The following is a 27,838-nucleotide window of genomic DNA, read 5'->3' as shown; positions in this document are numbered from 1 at the left end:
ATTAATACATGACCCACAAAAGGAGTTTTGGCTATCAACTATTGAAGATGCTGGCCTCAGGAAGCTTAAGATTTCAGTGGTCTAGTGTGCAGAGGGAAAAAAAGGTACCAAGGGACTAAGGCTAATGGAGCCCCTTAGCAATCCTGAGGGATGGGAAACTCAACCAAGGCCGCTAAATCACATATGGTGGTGCAGGTTCGGCAGAGCCAAGGGGGCCGGCTCCCTTGTCAAGCCTTGCTTCAGCTCAAGCTCCCTTGTCAAGCCTTGTCTCAGATGAAGGGAGACTCTTTGTTATTTGGTTCTCCAGAGGAGGTGACTTTAATTTGCACAAAGGCATCTTATTAGCTAGCAGAGACGAGTATGTACAATGCACACTGTTGTGCGTTTGTGTGTGCTTGTATGTATTTATGAGTATATACAGTTGTAGGTGATGAATGTGGGAAGATAAAGGTGAGTTCTTAAAGCTTGTGGTTACTTTCTGACTGAGGTCTTGGGAGGTTTGTATTTGCTCAAGCTGCGATAGTTGGGTTTCTGTTACATGCTACTTTTACAGAATACATATAGCTAAATGTTATTTCTCATCACCTGCTTTCTGTTTGTTTCTGTCTCTGTCCTTTCCTTCATGTTTTCTTGATCTCTCCTCCCCTCTCTGCTTATACCAGTCATGCTTGGTACATGATATGTGCTCAATAAATTGTAGCTGTTATTTAATAACAAGGTCAACGAATGTATAGAAAGTTTTTTAAAAAAAATGCTTATCTTGGAAGATGACTACATGACAGTAAATGAAGAAGATGTTTATCTAACTTTAGTGCCATTTTGATGCAACAAATGAAACCTTGGTTTGTCAACATTTCTGAAATGCAAAATATGTGTGCTATACTTTGCTATACCAAGACAGGAATAGTACAATCAGAAGAAAATAAGCCTCCTCTTCTGACGAGGCAACTTTAGGGAAAGAGAACTGAATCCTGGAAAAGATCCTGGGGCAGCAGCAGATAGGCACTCTTCCCTTGGAAGCCAACTGAGACCTGATTCATTCCTCTGACCAGAAGCAACCAGACAAAACTACCCTCACTCCTAGCACAGAGAAGGACCCCTCCCACAACTAAAGTGACCATGCCAGCCAGGAGAACTTCATTGAACATTCTGTGTTGTCTACCGCACTATGATGATAGACTCCAGTTTAAACATCTGAGCATACTGGATGCTTGAATTTGATTGAACACCCCTGGGATTAGGCTGCAGAACAGGGTGACCCTATTGCTTGGGACAGTTAGGCCCAATTATCAGTCCAGTTCCAGATCTGGTTCTGTGGTGAGTGCCCTGGGAGGCTACCAAATCCTCAGTTCCCTGGAAAGTGAAGCCCTAGAACTTCCTAGAGCTATAAGGCTCTGTTCTTGAACTAGACTGAAAATAGGCAAGAACCAGAAATCAGAAAAGCCTCCTAGACATAGTAAGATTTAATATGACTACACTGCTATTTCCATGAAGAATGTCCCTCTGTGTCTTTTAATGTCTCCCCAACCAGGAAGTTCCTTCTCATGTCCTGTTAGGGAAACACAATCCAGGCCCACCTAAAGCGGAAACCAATGGTTCCTTTGCACCATCTGTACTGCTGCCATCATTTTGAAAATGCATTGCTTTTGTTACGGATGGGGCTGACCAAGACAATAGGAAGGATCCCTTGAATTACTAAGTCTGGGAATCCAGAGAAGGTGATTTGAGCAAGGCCTGTGTGAGGATGGTTGCCTTACAAGAGCAAGCAGACCAGAGGTGCAGTGAAGTTGCTGCCCCAGATCCTTTACAAGGACATGGGGTCCAGTAGCCCAGGATTCCTCAGAGAAGAAACACCTAAATCCTTGGGAAAGGAGGGAAATGTGAGTTCATGACTTACTGTCTGTGTTGAAGACTCTCATGATCAGGAGATAGTATTGGGGAATGATGTTAGCAATCCCCCTCTGTGTACTGTGGAGCAGAAGCAGCTTCTCTGAGAGCTATGGTACCAGATCAGTGGATGGAGTGCAGGGAAAGGTGTGAGGAACTGCCTGTTACTACCTGTCTCCAGTGCCATCTTGATTAGCACCAAGAAATGCCCTCTGTTAGGGGGCTAGAGAATCCATGCTGAATGAACTTTTAAAAATATAAGATGTGGGCTCCAGATATTAACAAATGCTGACGTGGATCCACACTTTTTTCTTATCTCTGGTTCTCACTCTTCTTTGGAATTCAGCTACCCCAGCTGCTGGTGGTGTTGTCATTAGCTGGAGGCAGACAGGGCCCCTGGAACTGAGCTTATTAAGAACAAATGAGCCTTGGGTTCAGACCCCTTAGGGGTTTTGCTTTCTGAAGCTAGGCACAAATGAAAACTCAGCTGCCTAGGCTTTGCATTATTACATTTTCTGGGTTATATTGGTCTCCAGGGAACCTGCTTTAGGCATTTCCAAGTTGTTTGTTTTAACAAAGGATATCAAATTTTAAACAACCCTCAATTATCAGAGAATTCTCCTTTAAAACTGGAGTTCTTGGCAGCAAAACCACTATTTTGAAATATCCCTTTCTCAGTCAATATACTGGCTCCCGGAGTCTTGGTCCTGGCTGCTGACTCAACTGTGCAGCCACAACTTTTTGCCCCAGTTAGTGTTTGTTGAGTTCAACACAGCTATGGGGTAGGAAACGGCTTCTAATTTTCTTGCTGCCTCATCAGCAGAATTGACAGCTAAATTCCAATTGCGGAGGCTTTATTACTTTTGAAGGTGTGAGAGGCAGAAAAGAGCACAGCTGGGTCCTTTATCACAGGCGGAGTTTGCAGGACTGGCACATAGAAGGATCAGCTTTTGACTGTTAACTGAGGACAATTTAGTCTGGAGGTGCTTGTGGGCAGATGATATTTGAAACCCCCTTATGTTGGATTCTGTGAATAACTACACTCAAGAGTGCACGTCAGGGTTTAGCACTTCCTCAATAAAGTGTGCTCCAAAAAGCCAAGGGACGAAACGTTTTAAGAAGCTCAGCTGTTGCAGTGAGGCAAGTATGCTGCGCTGTCGTGGTGGGACAACTTATCCACACTGGTGGATATCTCCCACTTTCCTGGAAATGCAACAGCCAAGTGGCATGGGGGCTCAGCCTGAAGAAAGAGTAGCACGGACGTGGTCGAATCAGGTGGGGTTTCTGGTTTTCTGTAATTCTGTAGGCAGAGGAGGCTGGCGAAAGGCTTTCTAGGCTGGGATGTTTGTTGAATCCTTAGATAATTACTTTCTGGCCACATATTCACATGTTTCTATTTCCTCAAATGAATGTTTACTTCAGAAAATATTTCTATTACAGAAAAATGGTATTTTCCCAGGAAGTGCATGCTCAACCATCCTTCCTCGTGTGCCCTTGCTCAAGATGGTAATTTACCAAAAGAGTGTAATTATGCAACTGAAAAGCCTTTAAATTGGATTGTGAGGGGAAACCCTGTGGCGTTCCTCAAAACAGGCCAGGTGTGAACATAAAGTAATGAGACCGATATGTCAATTTTTGTATACCTGTATAAAACCAAAGCAATAATTCTGAATGCTTGCTTCCCCCTTCCCCAGCTTAACTTAGGGTTATTGAAGGCAGACCCTGGATACATTTTGTTAGAGCATTGTTTTCTTTATTTTGGAGTTGCAAGCTTTCATTGACGGCCCCTATTGTTTCTTGTTTATTTATCATCTCTCAGGTGAAAAGGTCTCTTCCAAACTGGGGCTTGTTGATGGGGAGGGCAGAAATTTTCCTCCTGGATCCTCTCACTGTGCACATGGTTACTTTTAGAATCATCTCAGTTCCCGAACGGGAGCATTGTTGGAAAGGCACAAATTCTACCATTTTGTAGTCTTCTGTTCTCATATTTTACTAAATATTCCAAGAAAAGGGTGTATCAGGTTACTAACTTTCCACTATTTTATCCAGAAATCTTTCCCTCACTATTTTAATAACACTTCTTTCATCTTGTGGCTGGTTTTTGAATAAGGAGCTACTGTAGGCCTAAAACTCTTCTAAGTTTCTTTGTAGAATCTCAAAGCACTTGAAATTCATATAGGTGTTTTGCAACACAGGCATTTCTTACATGTGAGCTACATATACATTCCCAAAGACTGTTGTTTCTCTAGTTGCCATAGGACTCCATTAATTTATTCCAACAATAGTGCTATTGCTCAAAATGCCCAGACATCCCCTCTTCTGGAATTGTCTCCCAAGCTGGTTGGCAAATCATGTAGGAAAACCTGTCATAAAGTAACACACAGTCTCACCTTTTTTTTTTTTTCTTGACTAAAGCCAGAATTGTATAGCTACGTCATCTAAATTCAACTTTTATTCATCAAAATGCACTCCAAACAACTTCTGTTTCTCAAAATCAAATCCATTTTCAAAGGATGGATATTTACCAGCCACAATTAAGGAAATTCTAAAGAAAATGCCACAGGCTATCAGAGTAATTTCTAAAATGAAGCTCCATGAATTCTTTTAAATGGCAGTAGTATTTGACTAGTATAGCAACTCCAAAGAGACTTTGTTGGAGCAAATAATACTTGTTTAGATGTGAGTTCTGATAAGTTGGTTACAAAAAGAGTCTCATTTGGTCTGGGAAACAAGATAGGTTGGTTTAAAAAGATCATGCCATTTGATATGGGATATGATATATGAGATAAATGGGTCCTAGCTCTGCCAGTGAACATGGGCAAAGTGCTTAGAATCTCTAGGTTTCTGATTCTTCACATTTAAAATGAAAGGTTTAGATGAGGTGATCTCCAAGGACTCTTTTAGCTTGAATACACTACAATTCATTCATCAAACATTTATTGAGCAAATACTGTAAATGTTAGACACTGCTTTAGGAAAAGTAATACAAAATCCCTGTCCCAAAAGGTCTCAAAATCTAGCCAGGCATATGGATTATATACAATTTTTTATATCATCAATATCACAATATGATCAACTCTCATATATTATACAATATAACATAATATTTATTGCTGAATAAACTACTTGTTCATCAAATATTTTTCTTTTTTTCCTGACAGGCATTGTAACTGATTTGCCACACCTAATTAATTACAAAGGAGTCTGGGAAAAAAAGTTTAGCCTGCAAGTGTTGGAAAAATAAAATAAGGAACCTTTGGCTATTACCTTTCCACTTTTCCTAAAAGTTCTGGAAGCAAGGGGTGTGGGAGAGGGAAGGGCATACATACATGAAAGGAAGAAGGTAACATAGAAATACAGGAATAGATCAATGAAGAACAGATAATAGTAATTATTAGAGAAGTTAATTGCCTAACCTCAAGATGTATGCTAAAAAAAAAATTACCTGAAAAAAAAATGGGCTAGCCAGCACCTTTTCCAAAAAAGTGGGGATAATGGCCAAAGGATCCTTGCTTTATTTTTCTAACACTTGCAGGACAGTAAAAATTCTTTTGAAAACTATTCAATCAAGAGTGAAATCTGGGTTACTGGCAAGAATGTTATCTGAAATGATGACTCTAAGACATGATTGCCTGCTGCCTTGCAGTTTGGAATTTGATATGAAGCTGCGTTGAGGTTTAAAATGCCATTTGTTAGGAGTTAGAACTATGTTAACCATGTTACAGGTAAATCTAAGTGAATACTTAAATTCATCTAAAAGCCAATGTCTTTGGCTATTTTCAGCTTAGTTGTAAGGAAGATAGCAGTAAATTGTTATTATATTGTGGTAGGTAGATAATGGCCTCCCCCAAGGTGTCCACACGCTAAGCCCAGAAACCTGTGAACATGTTACCTTACATGCCAACAGGGGCTTTGCAGATGTGATTACATTAAAGATCTTGAGAGAAGGGGGTTATCCTGTATTATCTGGTGAGCCCAAGGTAGCCACAAGGGTTCTCACAAGAGGGAGGCAGGAGTGTCAGGGTCAGAGCAGGAGCTGGGACAGCAGAAGCAGAGGGCAAAGTGATGTGGGGCCATGTGCCAAGGAAAGCAGCCAACTTCCAGAAGCTAGAAAAAGCAAGGAAAGGGATTTTCTCCTAGAGCCTTAGAAGCAGCACAGCCCTGCCATCCATCCGTTTTGGACTTCTGACCTGCAGAACTCTAAGATAATGCATCTGTGTTGTTTTACGCCACTAAGTTTGCAGAAACTTGTTATAGCAGTAACAGGAAACTAACACATACATAACACACTATGGCCTATGCATTCTCCTCTGTTTTATTCATAAACAATTTTTAGGCACTGCTATGTATGAGTCACGTACTATCTAGGTGCTGTAGAGGGAAAAGAAGGGTTAAAAAAAGCTGTTTTCCATAGCTTTTGTGTTTTTGAAAGAAATTAATTTTTGAATCCTATTATGCTTTTCGTGTATTTATACTATGTGCCTTATAGTGTGTGTGTGTGTGTATATATATATGTTTTACATATATACATCTGTATGTGTGTATATAGTATACAGCTATTCCTTAAGGATATTTATACTAAGGGCTTTACAGATAATCATTCCTTTAGCTCTCTCATAACAACTTAAGGTACTACTGTCTCCCCTTCACAAGGGAGAAAACTGAACTGAGGGGAGTTGAAACCTGCAAGAAGTTACCAATAAGGAGGAGATCTCCATTTTGATGGTTTGGGGGCAGACCAAAGTTGGTTCTGTATGAACTGACCAAAACTCCGATAAGAAACTGTGTTCTTTCAGCCTTGAAGAGAGAGGACAGAGATCAGGAATCTCACAGTGACTGTAAAGTGAGAGTGGTATTCTGGAAAAAAGAGTGTTGGAGCCCTAGATTCTGTCTGTAAACTTCTGCACCATGCATGCCTGGGACAGACTCTAAGTAGCTCAGCAAAGCCCAAAAGATGAGAAGTGAGATTTGAACCGTTGCCCAAGAGAGATGTTAGAGGTCGAACCAAATCAAATAAGTTGACTGCTAAAACAAAAACACTGACATTCTTTGGGGGAATATAAAATATAAAGATGTCTCTAGAACATAGACTTGACAAGGTCCATGATTCAATCCAAAATTACTTGACATACGAAGGATCAAGAAAATGTGCCCCATCCTTAAGAGAAATATCAATAAACTAAGACCAGCCCTGAGGATTTAGGAACAGCCCTTGGAATTAGCATGCATGGATTTTAAAATTTTAGGCTATTAAGTGTATGCAGAATGAAGAAAAATATGTTTGGAATAAATTAAGAGAAGAATCTCAGCAGATAAGTACTGTACAAAAAGAAATTATGGAAGTTCTAGAATTAAAAATATAATATCTGAAATTAAAAATTTACTGAATGTATGTAACTCAAAAAATTAAGAATGACAGAGTAGAGAGTCAGTGAATGTGACTAAATAGCAACAGAGATGATAAAATATGAAGAAAAGAGAGAAAAAGTTTGAAAAAGATAAACCTAGTCTCAGACACCAAGAGGTCAACAAACACTGTATCATCCATATAATTGTAATTCTAAGAAGAGAAGATAGAGACTGAGACAGAAAAATCTATTTAAAGATAGAATGGCTCTCAAATTTATTGAAGGGCATAAATGTGGAGATTCAAGAGTCTCAGCGAAATCACACTTAAAAATCACAAAAAAACTATGCCTAGGTGCATCAAAGGCAAATTGCTGAAAACCAAAGATAAAGAGGAAATATGGAAAGCAGCCAGAGAAAATGACATATCCAAAGAGAAATGATTTGAATCATCATTCACTTCTTGCCAGAAATGACAGAGGCTAGAAGATAGTGGAATAACACATTTTAAAAAAACGTTTTATTTTAAAATAATTTTAGACATACAGAAAACTTTCAAAAGTAGTACAGAGAGTTTTGCTGTTTATTTTTCACACAGTTTCCCATAATATTAACATCATACATAAGGATTGTTAATTATCAAAGCCAAGAAATCAACACTGGTACAGTACCATTCACTAAACTACACAATTTATTGGAATTTCACCAATTTTTCCACTAATATCCTCTTTCTGTTGCAGGATCCAGTTAAGTATCCCACATTACATTTAGTTATTATGTTTTGTCTCCTACAATTTCTGTCAGGTCCCCAGTAACTCCCTTCTGTCTTTCATTATCTTAACATAACTCCCTTCTGTCTTTCATTATCTTAACACTTTTGAAGAAGGATGCTGGTCAGTTATTTTGTGGAATGTCTCTCGATTTGGGTTAGTCTGATGCTTCCTGGTGATTAGAAGGAGACTGTGCATTTTTGGCAAGCATATCACAGAAAAATATTGTATTCTTCTCAGTGCATCATATCAAGGAGTTCATGATGCCAGTGTATCTCATTCCTGGTGGTGTTAAGTTAGATCACTCAGCTAAGGTAATGGTTCTTCACTGAAAAGTTAGTACTTTTCCTTTTGTAATTAAAAGTATCTTGTGGCAAGATACTTTTAGACGGTGCAAGTGTCCTGTTTCTCCTCCAACTTTCACTAGCATTTGTCTGTAGATCTTGCCTGTGACAATTTTTACTGGGGTATTTGCCTAATGGTGATTTTCTGAAATAATGCCTTTAAGTGATTTAACAAATATTTTTATCCAAAATATTACATCCAGTAGAAACATTCTTTAAGAACAAAATTGTACAACTCAATAATAAAAAGAGAAATAACCCAATTAAAAATGGGCAAAGGACATTTCTCCAAAGAAGATATGCAAATGAAAAGATTCTGAACATCATGAGCCACTAAGAAAATTCAAATCAAAGCCATAATGAAATACCACTCCACACCAAGTAGGATGGCTATAATAAAAAAGACAGATAATAACAAATGCTGGCAAGAAGACAAAGAAATTGGAAGCCTCATCGATTGCTGATAGCAATGTAAAATGGTGCAACTGCTTTGGAAAACAGTCTGGCATTTCCTCAAACCATTAAACGTAGAGTTACCATATGGCCCAGCCATTCCACTTTTAGGTATATACCCAATCAAAATGGAAACATATGTCCACATAAAAACTTATAACACAAATGTTTATAGAAGCATTATTCACGATAGCCAAAAAGTGAAAACAGCCCAAATGTCCATCAACTGATGAATAAATAAATAAGATATGGTATATTCATACAATGGAATATTATTTGGCCATTAAAAGAAATGTAGTTCTGATACATGCTACAACATGGATAAACCTTGATAATGTTATGCTAAGTGAAAGAAGCCAGTCACTAAAGACAATACATTATATAATTCAATTTCTATGAAATGTCCAGCTGGGTGCAGTGGGTCATGCCTGTAATCCTAGCACTTTGAGATGCCAAGGCAGGAGGATCACTTGAGCCCAGGACTTTGAGACTAACCTGGGCAACATAGTGAAACCCTGTCTCTACAAACAATAAAATAATTAGTACAGTGTGGTGGCATGTGCCTGTGGTCCCAGCTACTCTCAGGAGGCTGAGGTGGGAGAATTGCTTCAGCCCAGAAGATTGAGGCTGTAGTGAGCTGTGGTCATGTCACTGCACTCCAGCCTGGGTGACAGAGTGAGATCCTGTCTCAAAAAAAAAAAAAAGAAAGAAAGAAAGAAAGAAATGTCCATAATAGGCAAATACATAGAGACAGAAAGATTAGAAAGATTAGTGATTGCCTAGAGTTGAGGGATTAGGAGAGTGGGGAGTGACTGCTAATGGATATGGAGTTTGTTTGGAAGTTGATGTAAAATTGGTTGTGGTAATGGTTGCATAACTCTGTGAATATACTAATAACCATTTAATTATACATCTTAAATGGGTGAATTGTATGGTATGTGAATTGTATTTAAATAAAACAATTTTAAGAAAAAAGAACAATGTTGAGGTACAGACATTTTTTGAAGAAAAAAACCCTGGGAGAAATTATTGGCAGAAAACTTGCACTACAAAATACTATAGACATTTCTTTAGACTGCTGGTCTATTATACCATATGGAAGCTTGAATCTTTAGAAAGAAATGAAGAACATCAGAAATATAATTATTTAGGCAACTATAAAATATTATTTTTATTTCTTTGAGGTACAAATAACTGTTTAAAGAAAAATGATAACGTTGTCTTATAGGATTTATAACATTTCATTATAGACCTTTCCTAGCCAGTGCAATAAAGCAGGAGCAAGAAACTAAAGATATGAGGATTTTGTAGCTTGCTTACTTGGAAAATGCATAATAATTAGAATTAATAATGAATTTAGTAAAGTCATTATACAAAGCCACTATACAAAAATCAATTGCATTGTATATCAGCAACAAACAATTAGGAATTGAAGTTTAATTAACAATGCCCTTAATAAAAGCATTGTGTCAATTTAATCCTCTGAGAAATAAACACTGACATAGATTTGGGAGGGTGAGAGATTTATTGGGGGCTAACAAGATAAAAGAGAGAGGAAGCAAAATTTGGCACAGAGAACCTCAGATTATCATGCTTGATCAACTCATTTGGGGAGTTGCTTTGAAGCAAAATTATGTTACAGAAGATCCATATTGGGCAGAAATGGCCAGATCCCATGATATGGTTTGGCTGTGTCCCCACCCAAATCTCATCTTGAATTGTAGTTCCCATAATCCCCACATGTGATGGGAGGGACCCGGTGGAAGGTAATTGAATCGTGGGGGCAGTCTCTCCCATGCTATTCTCATGATAGTAAGTTCTCACAAGATCGGATGGTTTTATAAGGGGCTTTCGCCTTTTGCTCAGCACTTCTCCTTAGTGTTGTCATGTGTGTTAGTCCGTTTTCATGCTGCTGATAAAGACATACCTGAGACTGGGTAATTCATAAAGACAAAGAGGTTTAATGGACTCACAGTTCCACGTGGCCGGGGAGGCCTCACGAACATGGTGGAAGGCAGAAGGCAAAAGGCATGTCTTACATGGCAACAGGCAAGAGAGAGAATGAGAACCAAACGAAAGGGGTTTCCCCTTATAAAACTACCAGATCTCATGAGACTTATTCACTACCATGAGAACAGTATCGAGGAAGTGGCCCCCATGATTCAATTATCTCCCACCAGATCCCTCCCACAACACATGGGAATTATGGGAGCTATAATTCAAGATGAGATTTGGGTGGGGACCCAGCCCAACTGTATCACCATGTGAAGAATGACGTGTTTGCTTCCTCTTCTGCCATGATTATAAGTTTCCTGAGGCCTCCCCAACCATACTGAACTGTGAGTCAATTAAACTTCTTTCATTTATAAATTACCCAGTCTCAGGTATGTCTTTATTAGCAGCATGAGAACGGACTAATTCACCACAGTACCTTAACTGTGTCCAGTCATCACCTGGGACTGCCCAAGAATAGCTTGACTATATCTCTAAAGATGAGGCAAAATCCTGAAGGTGCTAACAGCTGCAGGCTCTCAGCTTGCAGACCTTATTGCAGCTCAACAGTAATGTTATTTTGTAAAGGGAAATTCAAGTGGTGCAGCTCCATGACTGCCACAAGCAATAAAACATATCATATAACTAGGGAATAAATGTAATGAAAGAGGTGCCAGACCTGTATACATAAAACTACACAATAATATTAAGAGAAATTAGAGAAGACCTAAATAAACAGAAGGATATAGCATGTTCATGGCTTCAAAGGCACAACATTGTAATGATGCCAACTGGAATCGCTAATCTCTAGATTCAAGGCGTCCCAGTAAGTACTATTTTTTTGTGTGGACGTTGACAAGTTGATCCTAAAGTTCTATAAAAATTTAAAGAATAACCACAACACTCCTGAAAAACAAACTCAAAGTTCTTATATTTCCAGTAAGAAATAAAGTATGGTGTTGACACAATCTTCTCAACAAAGGACCAGTAGAATAGTAAGTCTATTCTATTGTTCACCTAATTTATACCAAATTGCTGTTGAAAATAATGGGAAAAAATTATCTCTCAATAAAAGATACTGGTCAAATTGGATACCCAAGTGGAAAAAAATGAACTTTTACCCCATGATACCAAATATAAAAATTGCAGATGGATTGTAGTTGTAAATATGAAAGTTAAAATAACAATGCTTCTAGAAGATAATATAGAATAGTATCTTTATAACCTTGGAGTAGGCAAATATTTCTTAAAGGTATTAACCAGGAAAATAAGGATTGATAAATTGGAACACATAAATGTTTAGAACTCTGTTTATTATAGGACACCTCTAAGTGAGTGAAAAAGCAATTTATGGAATGAGAAAAGATATTTGTAATACATACAGCCAACCAAATTCTCATACCCAATAACTAGAAAGAATTCCTGCAAATCAATAATATAAGGCAGGCAATTCAGCTAAAAAATAGGCAAAAGACTGGAATAGGTACTTTACAACAGAACATCTCCCAATGTTCATTAAGAATAAAAAAGTGCTTTAATTAATCATAAATTCATATTATTTGTATTCTGATGCTTTGACATCTTAGAGCCTTGCTGACCTTGGAGGGACCTTTCCTTCCAGAATTAGCTAATTCCTAGAGATAGATTAAACAATCTGAGAATGTTTCATATGTAAACCAACCAATCCAGAGCCCATATTTCAACCTCCTCCTTTGTGGGTCTCCAACATTTGGAGCCACTATTCTCCTACCCTAGTCACCTCAGGACCAGGTATCAGACAATTAGGAACAGCCCCTATACCCCAGAGAGTACAAATATTATTCAAACTAGCCAATTTTAAACCTGTTCATCTTGCCTCTCCTGTTCCTTCCCATGAAAATCACAACAAAGGCACTTGCCCATGTTTTGCCCTTGCTTTCCTGACTGCCTTGTTGCTTTCCTGTGTGGCCCCCCCTATGGTGTGCTATGCCTCCTGTTTTTAGGGAGCTGTGAGTATGAAAACTGTGTCTGTGTGTCTTTTGATACCTGATTAAGAGAAATGCAAGTTACTCTTAAAACAGTGCCTCACCTCATTGGAAATGCAAATAAAAATCACAGTGAGATCCTACAACTTACCTATCAGAATAGCTAGAATGAAAAAGACTAAAAATACCAAGTATTTATAAGAATGTGGAACAATGAGAACTTTCACATACTGCATATCCTGCTGGTGGGTGTGCAAATTGGCACAACTATTTTAGAAAGTAGTTTGACAGCATCTACTAAAGTTGAATATTATATACCCTATGACTTGCCATTTCTACTTCTAGATATATGCTCAACAGAAATGCACAATACATGTACCAAAATACATGTTTAAGAATGATCATAGAAACATTACTTGTGATAACTCCAAATTAGAAACAACTCTAATGTCCATCAAGAGTTGAATGAGTAAGTATATCATAGTTTATTCATACAATAAAATACTGTGGGACAATGAAAATTATCTACAACTATGCACAGTGAATCTCAACAAATATACTGTTGAACAAAAGAAGTCAGGCAGTGAAGAGTATATGATGTATGATTCCATTTATATGGGGCTCAAATCAGGAAAAGTCTATGGTGACTGAAGTTGAGATAATAGCTTACCTTTGGGGATGGGGGGCTGGAGGGATTATGACTGGGAGGGATATGAAAGGAAACCTACTTGTGTGTTCACAATATTTTCTTTCCTGATGTCAGTGGTGGTTACATAGGTGGATTCACTTGGTGAAAATCCACAGAGCTGTACATTTAGGACTTGCACACTTTCTGTATGAATGCTATAATTCAACAAAAATGTTGAAAAAAATCAATGAGAATTTTTGTGTACAGAATAATTGTTGCAAGGATGTAAATTATATTGTTATAAATACTTGCAATCATTTATGAGGAAAGCTTGTCCTAGTAGGGGATCACATTGCTGGAACACATGTGAAATGAGCTTGCAATCTAAATTTTATGAGGCTCCTTACGTTAAATGCTGTCCTGGCTGTCGGTCATGAAACTGCTTTGGTTATTACTGAAACTGAATGAAACTGTGTTTGGGGGGCTCCCACCTGGAGAGTTGGTGGCTTATTTAGAGTTGTGTTTTACTCTGTGCCCTTGGCCAGGTGCTACTTACTGACATTAGTTAATCTTGCTGAGTCTCTATTCTCTTATCAGTGGGATGTGACTAATAATAGTAATTGCCTCACAGAGTTGTGAAGAATCAATAAAGTAGTGTATGTGAATGGCTCAGTGCAGAGCCTGGCGCCTGAGTACATGCTCAGGAGTTATTCACTATTAATGTTTTTGTTGTGTTTGTGTTCTGACATGTTTTCAAGATTTATAATTTAGTTGTGTTTCTGTGATATGTAAACAGGAAGTAGAGGAGGGATATTATAAAGAGGAGCTTGGGCACAGCTTCACCTACCCCACCATGACCCCAGTTCACCCACGGAACCCGAGATCTTTGATGAGGGCCCATCCTGGGTCAGACTAGGTTTGGCAATCGTGCATGGGAGATGATTGAATAGAGGGCTCTTGGGCTTGCAAAGAGAGTAAGAGATGATATTTCTACTGGAGAGTTTGATCTAAGCCTGCTGAGAAGCGGTCAGCACCATAGCCAGGGAGCTCAAGGCCATACCTGAAATGTAAGTTCAGATTTACATGGGCCAAGAACTGAAGCTCCTGTGTTTATCTGCTTGTCTGAAAAATAAGACTTTTTTTTTTTTTTTCTGAGACAGGATCTTGCTCTGTCACCCAGGCTGGAGTGCAGTGGTGCAATCATGGCTCACTGCAGCCTCAACCTCCCAGGCTCAATACATCCTCCCACCTCAACCTCCTGAATAGCTGGGACCACAGGCTCATGCCACCACACCTGGCTAATTTGTGTACTTTTTGTAGAGACGAGGTTTTACCATGTTGCCCAGGCTTGTCTCGAACTCCTGGGCTCAAGCTATCCACCAGCCTCAGCCTCTCAACGTGCTGAGATTACAGGCATAATGAAAAACTAGACTCCTCCTAAAAAGATCAATGTGAATTTGGAGAAGATGTCCTAGACCTGAGGTCATATCTATACTAAACTATCGTGTGGCAATACTCACTATTTGTAAAGCACAGTAAAAGCTCATATAAAAGTACTTAGAAAGGGTAAAAATCATCCAAAAACACAAGTGGGCTTCTGAGTTACCCAGGAGACTCTGAGCATTGCCCTTCTCGCCTTTAGCTTGTCACTCCAAATGCTTCCAGTGACTGGGCTCTGAGGCTGGCCTCACCTTTCAGTGTTCCACCCCAGGGATTCTCCATCAGCCAACTTCATAGGCCAGGAGTTATTACGGGCTGCTTCACGAGATGTTCAAAGGCCAGCTGTGAGTTTGTTTCACTTAACTCAGAGAAGGTTAATGGAATCTCAGACATGAAATCTCTAAGTAACACATGAAATTCCTCACTCCCTTTATGTAGCCATGGTCTGCATGAGAAATCAGAAGAGGAAGCAAGATTACTACAGTGTTAGGCTGGGATCCCACCAAGTGGGCCACGGCTGGCTCCCATTCCCTCTGCATATCTTGCATGTTAACTGGAGACAACTGTCAAAGTTCAAGGAGGAACCAGCTCAACAAAGCCTGATCATGAAAAGTTATACCAAAATCTGGGATCTGTTATTCTGACTCTTCATACCAGCACCAAAGAATTTGTTTACATTAGAAAGAAGAGTGTCTTTCCAATATGCTTTTGGAGATAAACTACAAGCAAACATGGAAACCTATACCAAAAAAAAAATGTGGCTTTTACTTTTTTTCCTAATTGATAAAAATCCTCATTAACTAGGCATCCAGAAAAAGGAAGGCATGAAAATCTCTTGTTCCATGTTTCCTCTTTCTTACTACATTTTGATTTCTTCAGGCTGATTGTGCACACAATTAGATAAGAACCAAAAACAAGGATACATCTTGTAATTTTTTGAAAGATTATTGAGGAAGGCAGATATTTGAAGTGAGAGTTTTGCTTCAATCTCTGCTCTGCCACTTACTAGTTGTGTGACCTTGGGCAGGCCACTGTGCCTGTGTTCTTCATCTATCAAGTGAGGATAAGAATGCCAACAGACAGACGATAAACACAAGTCTTCAAAGTGCATCCTAGGCCCTGCTCTCTTTCTTGTGAACAATTCTTCCAACAACTCCCTGCTCCCTAGGTGAGCTCAGCCACATTTCCCACCTTCCATGTATGCCCTGCAGGTGCACCTGCCTACCTGACATCTCCTTTAGTTGTCACAAAGAGAACTTAACACAACCAAAATCAGACTCTTGATTTTCCCCCAAATTGGTCTTCTTTTAGTCTTTCTTAACTGAGAGGCTTCCTTTATCTACCAATTCATGAAACTAGAAACCTGAGAGTCCATTTTGATTCCTCCCATTCCCTCTCTTTGCCTCCTCTCCCACTTCCAGTTCATTTACAGTCCTAGCTTGTAAATGCTAACTCCCAAAACCTCTTGAATCCACCTACTTCTACCCAGGTCCACTGCCACCACTCTTTTTTACTTTACCATGATACATTCCCATCCAACAGGTCTCGCCTTCAGTTACTCGAGATCCTCTGGAGTCTCTCTCCGCTGCCCTGGAGCCAGTGTGATCTTTTTAATATGTTCATCTTGTAGTGTCATTTACCTGCCTATGCCTTTTGGTGGCTTCCCACTGCTCTCAGGATAAAGACCAAAACCTTTAACACGATCTTCAAGGACAGCATGGTTTGGCTTTTCCCTGTAAGTTCGGCCTCATCTCAACTCATACTCTTATCTACTGAGCTCCACTCATAGGAGTTTTCTTTCATAGCTTTTTGTTTTTTCCAAACTTTTATTATGAGGTAATTTCAGACTTACAGAAATGTTGCAAAAATAGTACAAGGAATTCTTGTGTATCTTTAACACACATTCCTCAAATGCTAAATTTTACCACATTTGTTTAGTCTATTTTTTTCTGAACTTCTTGGGAGTATTATAATGAAGAAATTAATATAAATATAGTACCATTTTCTAATAAACAAACCTTCTTTAAAATTTGACTAATTATCCCATTAATGTCTTTTATAGCAAAAGAAAAAATGTTCTGCCCCAGAATCACAGATTCTACTTAGTTGCCATGTCTCTTTCAACTCCTTAATCTGGAACGGTTCCTCAGTCTTTTTTTGTCTTTTGTGATCTTGACACTTTTGAAGAGACTTGGCCAATTATTTTGTAACATGTCTCTCATTTTAGGTTTGTGTGATGGTTCCTCATGATTAGAGATAGGTTATAAATTTTTGACAGGACTATCACAGAAAGGATTCTGTGTTCTTGGTACATCAAATCGGGAAGCACGTGATATCAATTTATCCTGTTACTGTTGATGTTAACTTTGAGCACTTAATTAAAGTGATATCTGTCAGATCTCCACAGTAAAGTTACCATTTTTCCCTTTGTAATAAAAAATATCTTGTGGAGAGATACTCTGAGACTACAAAATAAACTTTCATCTTTTAATAATACAATCCACTGATGATTCTCATCTGAAATAATATTTACTATGGTGGTTGCCAAATGAAGACTCTTTTAAATTTAAAATGCCATGTTCTCTCCAACCCCAGGGCCTTTGCACATATTATGTCTTCTGCCTAAAATCCTCCTCCTCCTCTTCAACTGATTAATGATTATTTCTTTAGATCCCAGACCAAATGTCATTTTCTGAGATGTCTTCTCTGGCCCTTTCCCCATCCTGGGTAAGTCTCTCATTTATATATTGTTGGACATCATGTAGTACTTTGTAGCACTTGCAGGTGTAGTTTTACTTATTTTTGTGATTATTTAAAGTCTGTCTCCTCCCCTAGGCTATAAATACCATGAGGGCTTGTTTTTATGGACTATTATGATTCCAATGCCTAGCACAGTTCCTTGTATACATAGGCTGCTCATTCAATTTAAAGAACTCATAGAGTTCTTGTGATGATTAAACAAAATAAGATACATAATACTCCTAACATACAGTAGAATCTTAACAAATATTGGTGCTCTCCCCGTCCTCCAGCCCTCACATTGGTAAGGCTTTCTGTAACAGGTAAAACATCTTATACCAAACAAAAATTTGTCTTTGGAAATGACCTTCTGTGCCCTAAAAGTCGATCTTCACTTGAACTTTACTAACACTTCAATGGAAGGACATTTATAAAGAACAAGTCAGACTGAAATACAAGGTTACATTTCCTTTCTTATCTGCAACATATGTTGAAATGGGCTTCACTTGCCAATTTGAGAAATTAAACCTCCCTCTTATACTCTCTTTCAAAGTGACCCATGGTTATTTATGAGAGCTCTGCGGACAATTGATTTACATGTGAAGAACTTGTCTCTCAGGGTTTTCTAATCTGGTCTCTTTGCCCTGCTGCCGTACAGCTCCTGTGGCTCATCTTATGAGAGAGCCATTCTGCTCTCTTTGCACAATTGTCCTTCACAGGCAACCTCCATTGATGTCCCCTCTCTAGCCCCGGGGGAGGGACAGTACTGCTCTCCTCTTGTCTAAACATCTCAAAACAAGTGTTGGGGACTTCTGATTCAGGATGCAAAAACTGCTCATTCATAAACTCCCCCTATTCCCTGAGACACTGTTGAAATTTCAGGACTCAGAGAAACATGAATAGAAATATGCTTATAACAGAAAAGAGTTTGGAAGGAGAGATCACTGGTGAATACATGATTTCAAGAAATTCCCAGGCCAGGCACAGTGGCTCATGCCTGTAATCCTGGCAGCTTGGGAGGCCAAGGTGGGAGGATTGCTGGAGCCAAGGAGCTCAAGACCAGCCTGGGCAACATAGCAAGATCCCTTCTCTAAAAAAAAATTTGAAAATTAGCCAAGCACAATGGTGCACACCTGTAATCCCAACTACTTTGGGAGGATAAAGTAGGAGGATCGCTTGAGCCCATGAGTTCGAGGCTGCAGTGAGCCATGATTGTGCTACTGTACTCTAGCCTGAAGACTGTCTCAAAAAAAAAAAAAAAAAAAAAAAAAGAAGACAGAATTCCCAGAAGAGGGCAAATTAAAATGTGTTGATTAGTGTGCAATGCAGAGGAAGCTATAGGGCAGGTAGGGCCAGGAGAGGAGGTGGGAGCTGATCTTACCTGTGAAACTTAAGAGGCTCTGGGCTCTAGGTCACAGGTATAAGAGGCAGTAGTAAGAGAGAACAGGAAAAAGGAGGATTTATTGAAGGTAAGCGGGTCAGAAGTCAGCCCCACACTCCTTCTCTCCTTGATGTCCAGTTACAGAACAATTACGAGCTTAGATTCACTCCAAGACTGAAAAACAAATAAAAGCCAAAACTAAACCAAACCAAACAAAAAAAAATGGTCATTCCTCTAAAGAAAGAGAACAATCTTGGAGCTCCAGTGGTGCAGTCAGTTAGCGTGTTGTACTTATACAGAAAGAGAACAATCTTCAGAGACTGAGACTTCCAGGTGGCTATTACTTCCTCCAGAATAAAACATTTTTTTCTTCTGGAATTTGGGTAGATTGTTTCTCACTCATCATCCTGAAGCAAAGCCTGCCATTGGCTATTTCCCATTCAGATACACAAAGGTTACAATAAGCCTTACCAGGGCAGAGGACTGTTAGGGAAAATAATTATAGAGTTTCTATAAAGCAGGAGAAGGAAACCATACCAGCTACCTAAAATAATCAGCCTTGTCCCTCATTCTTGAATATACATAAACAACATATAAGGAAGAAGACTAATATGTAAAGAATGACCAAATAAATAAAACTGACCCTGGAGGAACCAGAGCTATTTAGGGAAACAGAAGATAACTTTTTAAAAATCTAATTATATTCTCAAAGAGAAGTGAGAATATGTTGTCAAGACAGGAATACAACAATATAAAAAAGGAATAGTCAAAGATTAACCCTTGAAATTAAAAAATTCTGTTAAAATATTTAAAAATCAACAGCAAGGTTTGGTAATAAAGTGAAAGCAATCTTCCAAGCTATAGAACTAGAAGATAAATAGAAAACATAAGAAAAAAATATAAGCAAAAGATCAATCCAGGGTTCAACATACGAGTAATAGTAGTTTCAGAATTTAGACTATGTGATATAGGGTAGAATATTTTGTAATTGTGAGTAAAATTTCCAAGAGTTAACGAAAGGCACAAGTTTTCAGTTTCATGGGGCTCATCAAGTGCTTTGCCGTATGAAAGGGAAATTGATCCATGTGTAAGAATAATTTCATCAATCTCAGAAAGGTGAAAATAAAAAGAAGACTCGAAAGGTTTCAGAGTGAGACAAACTAACACATCAAGTAGCCTACATTGTAACCAAAAATCTGGCATCAGCAACTCTGGATACTAAAAGTTGTGGAGCAATGCCATAAAATTCTAAGGGAAAATTATTTTGACTTGAATTTAATTTGACCTAGAATTCTGTATCCTGCGGAACTGTTACTCAAGTGGGGGGGTGGGAGGGGGGTGGGGGGGTGGCTAATACAGTTTTAGGCATTCAGGGACTCAGAGGGTAAAGAAAGCCACGATTAAGGACAGAGTGGTTTCTAACCTGACAGTGTGCTGAAGGAAAGTTCCAGCATGGCAGCTGTGCATTGGGCCTGGAGAACAGTTAGTTTACAAGGAGGGAAGAATTGGAGAGCTGTTGGAGGTTGTCTGAGTGAAACGAGGGTTCTGTGCAAGACTATCATTGAAAGGCAGGGAGAAATTGAGGATACTCTAATAGCTTATTAATCTTCATTAAACAAGAAAAAAGGCAATTTGAAATCTTGGAAAAACCAAATAGAACAAAGTCATGGGTCACACAGAAAATTCATTACATTGTGATATGACTGGGGAATGGGTTGAGTGTAAGGACAGGGAATTTATTTGATCTTGACTCTACCAACGTTTTTCTCCAAATGTCCCAGGGGTTAAAATATTTTACTTGTAGAGAAAGAAGAGTAATTATATGATACCAATTGGCTCTGTGATAAACCATATTTATGTAGTAATTGCCATGTAAAAGGTGTTTATTGGCTTGTTAGTGTTGAGACTCAATCTAGAAAGGAAGTGTGGAAGATTTAATTAAGCTTATGGAATTGTACTTAAATGTTATTGTCCTCAGTCATGTAAAAGAAAATATACAACAGAAGTATGGATAAGGAAAGAAGATAAATGAGAACAGTAAGTTAGGGACAGTCAGATCCTCAATTTATAGTGGTAGGTGGTAGTTAAGTAATACTGCCAAAAGTTGATGGAACCAAAACTAGGTGTTTATATATGTTATTTAAAATTATACTGGCAGCTGGTAGATATTGTGAATAGTTGAGTGCTACTATTTATTCCTGATAGAAAATAGAAGACGGTAAAAGGAAGATTGTTGTCATTTCTCCAGCTCATCACTAAGCAGTAAATAGTCATGATTATTGCTAAGAATATTGACTGGGCTATATTTGAAAATTAATGAGTACAGACATACAGTGCTTTTCAATTGCTAAACATTTTCTTTAAAGGGGACAGGCTCTCTAGGGCACTTACTTAATGTTTTTAGTGCTTGAGGCCCGAGTAGAGTGAAGAGTGCAAATATTCCATGTTTCCAGCCGCCCTAATTGTCTATGATAATGATAAAACTGCTGGAGAAATGTCCCGTTAAAAACCAAAGAGGGCCAATTTCCAGATGCACCACTGAGCACAAATGCACTTATTCTGCTGGTCCATTTGACAGCAGCCTCCTCAAGCCCAACTCAAGTGGCACTTGCCAGGGAGATGAGACTGGAGCCAGTGGTCCCATCCACAGGACCAGCAAGGCCACAGCAGCACTGTCTGGGCCTCTGTGACCACGGCAACTCTCTCTGCCAAGCCATCACCTGAGATTCAGATGAAAGAGGATGTTTGCTCCTGGGAACATGTCTTGTACAAGGCAGGTAACAGTTTCAGACTCATGTCAGTGCTCTGCTTGATGCCCTATGAGACAGTAGAACTAAATGAGTGGCAAAGGCAGTCCTTCTCTGGCAGGCTTTCTTCTGAACTGATCTAGAGACATGAACCTCTCGTTATGAAGAAAGATAGTTCCCTATTCAGGGAGAATTACTGCTCTCTCCTGCTGACATTGAGAAACCTGCTAAGTCTGATGCTTTAAGTAGGAGGCCCTTTAAATTGGAATTCTTGTCAGGCATCTAAGTTCACTTTTCACTTTATAGTGGAAATCGGGCCCGGCCTGGTGGCTCCTGCCTGTAATCCCAGCACTTTGGGAGGCTGAGGCAAGAGGATCACTTGAGCTCAGAAATTCAAGGCTGCAGTGTTCTATAATTGCTCCACCGCACTCCAGGATGGATGACAAAGTGAGACCCTGTCTCTCTCTCTTTCTGTATATCTATCTATATCTATATCTATATCTATATCTATATCTATATCTATATCTATCTGTATATAGATAGATATACAGAGAGAGAGTAGAAATTGGGTCAAATGCCTGTAGTTATATTCTTTCTTAACATGGAGATAATGAGATTCTGTAAAATAGGATTTTAAATTATTTACTATGACCCAAGAAATATGCAGAAGTATGCTCAGGTAACTGACAGCTGAGCTCTTACCTCCTAATTTTTCAGGATAGATAGGCTAAGTTTTGAAAAGTCTGCCTTGACTGCAGCCTCATACTAAGGGATTCCTGTGCACTGGCTTCTCATGATGGAAGTAATGGTCAAGTTACACATTAGTGCCTCACTTCTATATCTTAAACAAATCAGACCTGTAGAAGGTGTCTGATGTATAGATTAGCAAATCCATAGCCTGATGAACGGCAGCCTGTGATAGCATGCAGCATGGAAACTCTGCCAAATAGGAACATCATGAAACTTCCTCAGAAATTTGAACTGGAATTAGAGGAAGGCAGTTGATGAGTTTGTAGGAGTAACAGAAGTGGGACAGCACAGTCTGAGAAGGTAATACACAGATAAAATATGGAAGAGTCCAGGAGACATCATTACCATGAGCATACACATTTCAAGATAGAGCAAAGTCACTAGAGTAGAGGCTGGCATGGATTGTGGAGACGGGGTGGCAGAAGCAAAGACAGAGACGAACTGAGTCAATGTTAATGGTGGAGTTCAAATTGCAGATTAATAACATTCTGCAACTGAGAGAATGTCTGAGGTGCTCTGGTGCTTCCCTTGAGGTCTGGTATGCAGCTGTTTCTCGGCTTCATGGCATACCCTTGCTTCCATGTGTAACTTCATGAGAGACTCCCACAGTGTGAACGAACCGGCAAGGGTCTCTGTTCTTTGCAGCCCAAAGAACCCGGCTAAACACACCAACCCATCTATGCTGCCTTTCTAGTTGGACGTGTTCTTTTGAGACTGCTTTCCTGGGGAGGTGATAAAGTAACTGAGGCAATGAAAAAACTAGTCTGAAGCAAAGAAAATCAGCATTGCCCCCTAAAGCCTAAGAGTAGCACACCAAGGCAAGTTATTTTCTGTATCCAGGAAAAGACAACTGAGGAGCAAGTGCTGAGTGCTTGGGGATTATGTCAGAAACTCCATTTCCAATGTCTTCACTGCCAAGGAATCCCCATTACCCCCACCCCACCCCACCCTCAACCAACCACTTCGGTTTTTCTCCAAGGACACTAAGTTTTGAAAAGATTTAATCTAGCAAACTGGCTCTGTTTATTTAGGTAATACATCATTTTCTCATTGGAATAGATATGAGTCTTACCCATAAGCTCAGGATGAATAGATAATACTTTTTTTACTCTCTAACTCTACCTAATTTTATTCTGAGTCCCCATTTCACTGAGGCAGGAGGAAATTTAACTCAGTCATTCTTGAGGCACTATGTCCCAAGTGAGATAGGGTGCAGGGAATGGTACTGGTCACTAGCCATCTCTGTCCCCATGAGTGGTTAATTCTGAGATCTCCATGGTTTCTTCAGGCTCATTCTCCACAGCTCCCACACCACAGTTGGGCATTGAAATCTTCACTGTGGCCAGAAACTCAGTGCTAGTGTCTCTTTCCCTGAGTGTGACTTGCAGCCATCCCCTGGAAGGTCTGGCCCTTGCCTAGGGGCACTGTCTTGGAAAAGGGCAGTGGTCCAAGATTTTTCTCTTCCTCTTCTGGGCCAGTTGGGAAATCTTTGCTTTTTAGTTTCAGAGCCCTCCCCTATAAAATTAATCTGGATGATAGGAAGTTGAACAGGAAGCCCAGTGCCTGTGGAAAGTTTATTATATAACTGTAACTTGAGCGCTTAGCCATACACACACAAATGTGCATGCATGTGTGTGCTCAGCTGAATTAAATTAGTCACTAAAATCGTGTTTTCTCTCTCAGAATTAAATAATAATTATGTTGATTGAATGCACACGGCGTATGAAGTGACCTGGTAAGTATAAATAAGCTAGTGGGATTTCTGGAGTTTATTTTGGTTGAGTCCCAAAGCAAAGAGGAGCCATGTGGATTAGAGACTCTCATAAAATAAATTCCGTGAAGCAAGTCAATGAACTGTCAGCTCAGTCTCATTAACTTTAGGGAGACCCCAGATGAGGCCTTATTTCTGAAATATCTGGTTGCAGGAAAAGTAAAAACCTGCAAATGTCTCCTTTATGTCTCTTGTTGCCACTAAATTGCTGCCCACTTAATTCTAACCCTGGGCCTCTGCAGAAGGAACTGAATGACCCTGGGCTTGGGGATACATTTTGTTTCTGGGCTTCTGACTTTCTCTTTTAAGTACCCTCCTGCCTATCTTCCAGACTGAAAAAGTCCTCTCTGTGTTTCTCTCAGTTGTCTGTACTAACAGCCTTGAAATTTTAGACCTGTCCCCAGTGATTGGAAAGTGCTGACTCATCAGTTCCAGGATTTTTTCTAAAATGTGTCTTCAGTGGCCTGTGTGGGGAGAGAGGGAAAGACAGAGCAGAAACACCTTTCCTGTGACCAGGGCTTTAAGCTTAGTGTATTCAGGACTTCAGTGCACATTATTTATCTGACCTCACACAGCATTGTGCAGAGTGGTGGTGGTGTCCTTTCACATATGTGATACATGGGGCTCAGCGAGGCAGAGGGGCTTGCTCGGGGTCATAGAGCAGAGCCAGAACTGGACCAGCTCTTCTGTTTCCCACCTCCGTGCTCTTTGCCTGATACCCAGTCCTTCTCAATGGAACTAGGTAGTAGCCATACAAGGAGCTCTTAATGTGAGCATGCTTCTGGCCCAGTGGAAACAGCAAGAAAATATTAGACACATTTCTTGCCCTTGAGTCACATAGAGCTTAGTTGTCGCTTTTTTTTTAACTTTTATTTTAGGTTCAGGGGTACATGTGCAGGTTTGTTTTACAGGTAAGCTGCATGTCACGGAGGTTTGGTGGAAGGATTATTTCATCACTCAAATAATAAGCATAGTACCCAGTAAGAAGTTTTCAATCTTCTCACTTCTTACACCCTCCACTCTCACGTAGGCCCCAGTATCTGTTGTTCTCTTCTTTGTGTCCATGTATACTCAGTGTAGCTCCCACTTATAAGTGAGAAGATGTGGTACTTGGTTTTCTGTTCCTGCATGAATTCACTTAGGATAATGGCCTCTGGCTCCATCCATGTTGCTGCAAAGGACATGATCTCATTTTTTATGGCTACATAGTATTCCATGGTATTTATGTACCCCATTTTCTTCATCCAGTCTACCACTGATGGGCATTTAGGTTGATTCCATATCTTTGCTATTGTGAATAGTGCTGTGATGAACATATGCATGCATGTGTCTTTATGGTAGAACAATTTATATTCCTTTGGGTATATACCCAGTAATGGAATTGCTGGGTCAAATGGTAATTCTGTTTTAAGTTCTTTCAGAAATCACCACACTGCTTTCCACAATGGCTGAACTAATTTATATTTGTACCAGCAGTGTTTAAGTGTTCCCTTTTCTCCACAACCATACCAGCATCTGTTATTGTTTGGCTTTTTAATAACAGTCATTGTGACTGGTGTGAGATGGTGTCTCATTGTGGTTTTGATTTGCATTTTTCTGATGATTAGTGATGCTGAGCATTTTTTCATATGCCTGTTGGCCATGTATATGTCTTCTTTTCAAAAGTGTCTGTTCATGTCCTTTGCCCACTTTTTAATGGGGTTGTTTGTTTTTCATGTAAATTTGTTTAAGTTCTTTATACATTCTTGGATACTAGACCTTTGTTGGATACATGGCTTGAAAATATTTTCTCCCGTTCTGTAAGTTGTCTGTTTATTCTGTTGATAGCTTATTTTGCTGTGCAGAAACTCTCTAGTTTAATTAGGTCCCATTTGTTGATTTTTATTTTTATTGCAGTTGCTTTAGGTATCATTGTTACAAAATCTTTGCCAGGACCTATGTCCAGAATGATATTTCCTAGGTTATCTTCCAGGGTTCTTATAGTTTTATATTTTACATTTAAGTCTTTAAACCACCTTGAGTTTTTTTGTATATGGTATAAGGAAGGGGTCCAGTTTCAATCTTCTGCATATGGATAGCTGGTATTCCCAGCACCATTTATTGAAAAGGGAGTCCTTTCCCCATTTCTTGTTTGTGTCCAGTTTGTCGAAGATCTAATAATTGCAGGTGTGCAGCTTTATATCTGGGCTCTCTATTGTGTTCCATTCGTCTGTGTGTTTGTTTTCATACCAGTATCATGTTGTTTTGGTTACTGTAGCCCTGTAGTATAGTTGAAGTAGGGTGGCATGATGCCTCCAGCTTTGTTATAGCCTTGGCTATTTGGGATTTTCTTTTGGGTTCCATGTGATTTTTAAAATAGTTTTTTTCTAATTATGTGAGAAATGTCATTGGTAGCTTGATAGGAATAGCACTGAGTCTATAAATTGCTTTGAGCAGTATGGCCATTTCAATGATATTGATTCTTCTTATCCATGAGCATGGAATGTTTTTCTATTTGTTTGTATCATCTCTGTTTTTTTTTTCTCAGTGAAGTGATTTTTTTATTCCTTCTCATTTGCAGACATATATATATATATATATATGCAAACACAAACATATAAACAAATGTGTTACTTTTTTAAGGATGTTTCTTTTTTTAATTTTACTTTAAGTTTCGGGATACATGTGCAGAATGTGCAGGTTTGTTACATAGGTATACGTGTGCCATGGTGGTCTGCTGCACCTATTGACCCATCCTCTAAGTTCCCTCCCCTCGCCCTCTACCTGTAACAGGCCCTGGTATGTGTTGTACCCTACCTGTGTCCATGTGTTCTCATTGTTCAACTCCCACCTATGAGTTAGAACATGAGTTTGGTTTTCTATTCCTGTGTTAGTTTGCTGAGAATGATGGCTTCCAGCTTTATCCACGTCCCTGCAAAGGACATGATCTCATTCCTTTTTATGGCTATGTAGTATTCCATAGTATATATGTACCACATTTTCTTTGTCCAGTCTATCATTGATGAGCATTTGGGTTGGTTCCATATCTTTGCTATTGTAAATAGTGCTGCAGTAAACATACATGTGCATGTGTCTTTATAGTAAAATGGTTTATATTCCTTTGGGTATAGAACCAGTAATGGGATTGCTGGGTCAAGTGGTATTTCTGGTTCCAGATCCTTGAGGAATTGCCATACTGTCTTCCACAATGTTTGAACTAATTTACATTCCCACCAACAGTGTAAAAGCATTCCCATTTCTCCACAGCCTCACCAGCATCTATTGTTTCTTGACTTTTTAATAACCGCCATTCTGACTGGCCTGAGATGGTATTTCATTGTGGTTTTGATTTGCATTTCTCTAATGATCAGTGATGTTGAGGTTTTTTTCATATGTTTGTTGGCCACATAAATGTCTTCTTTTAGAAGTGTCTGTTCATATCCTTTGCCCACTTTTTGATGGGGTTTTTTTTTCCTTGTAAATGTGTTTAAGTTCCTTTTAAATTCTATATATTAGACCTATGTCAGATGGGTAGATTGCAAAAATTTTCTCCCATTCTGTAGGTTGACTGTTCACTCTGATGATAGTTTCTTTTGCTGTGCAGAAGCACTTTAGTTTAATTAGATCCCATTTGTCAATTTTGGCTT

General features: G+C 39.2%; 1 annotated feature.

Moving 5' to 3' along the window:
* Window positions 24,569–24,769: a silencer, noted in NCBI's record as "peak2176 fragment used in MPRA reporter construct". NCBI's record gives its function as "represses an SCP1 promoter by STARR-seq MPRAs in K562 erythroleukemia cells {active_cell/tissue: K562}" and the evidence as "EXISTENCE:reporter gene assay evidence [ECO:0000049][PMID:32103011]".

Source organism: Homo sapiens, chromosome 14 (genome assembly GCF_000001405.40).
Source record: "Homo sapiens chromosome 14, GRCh38.p14 Primary Assembly".
NCBI lineage: Eukaryota > Metazoa > Chordata > Mammalia > Primates > Hominidae > Homo > Homo sapiens.
The sequence above is the reverse complement of the archived record's forward strand: the minus strand, read 5'-3'. Positions and strand labels throughout refer to the sequence as shown.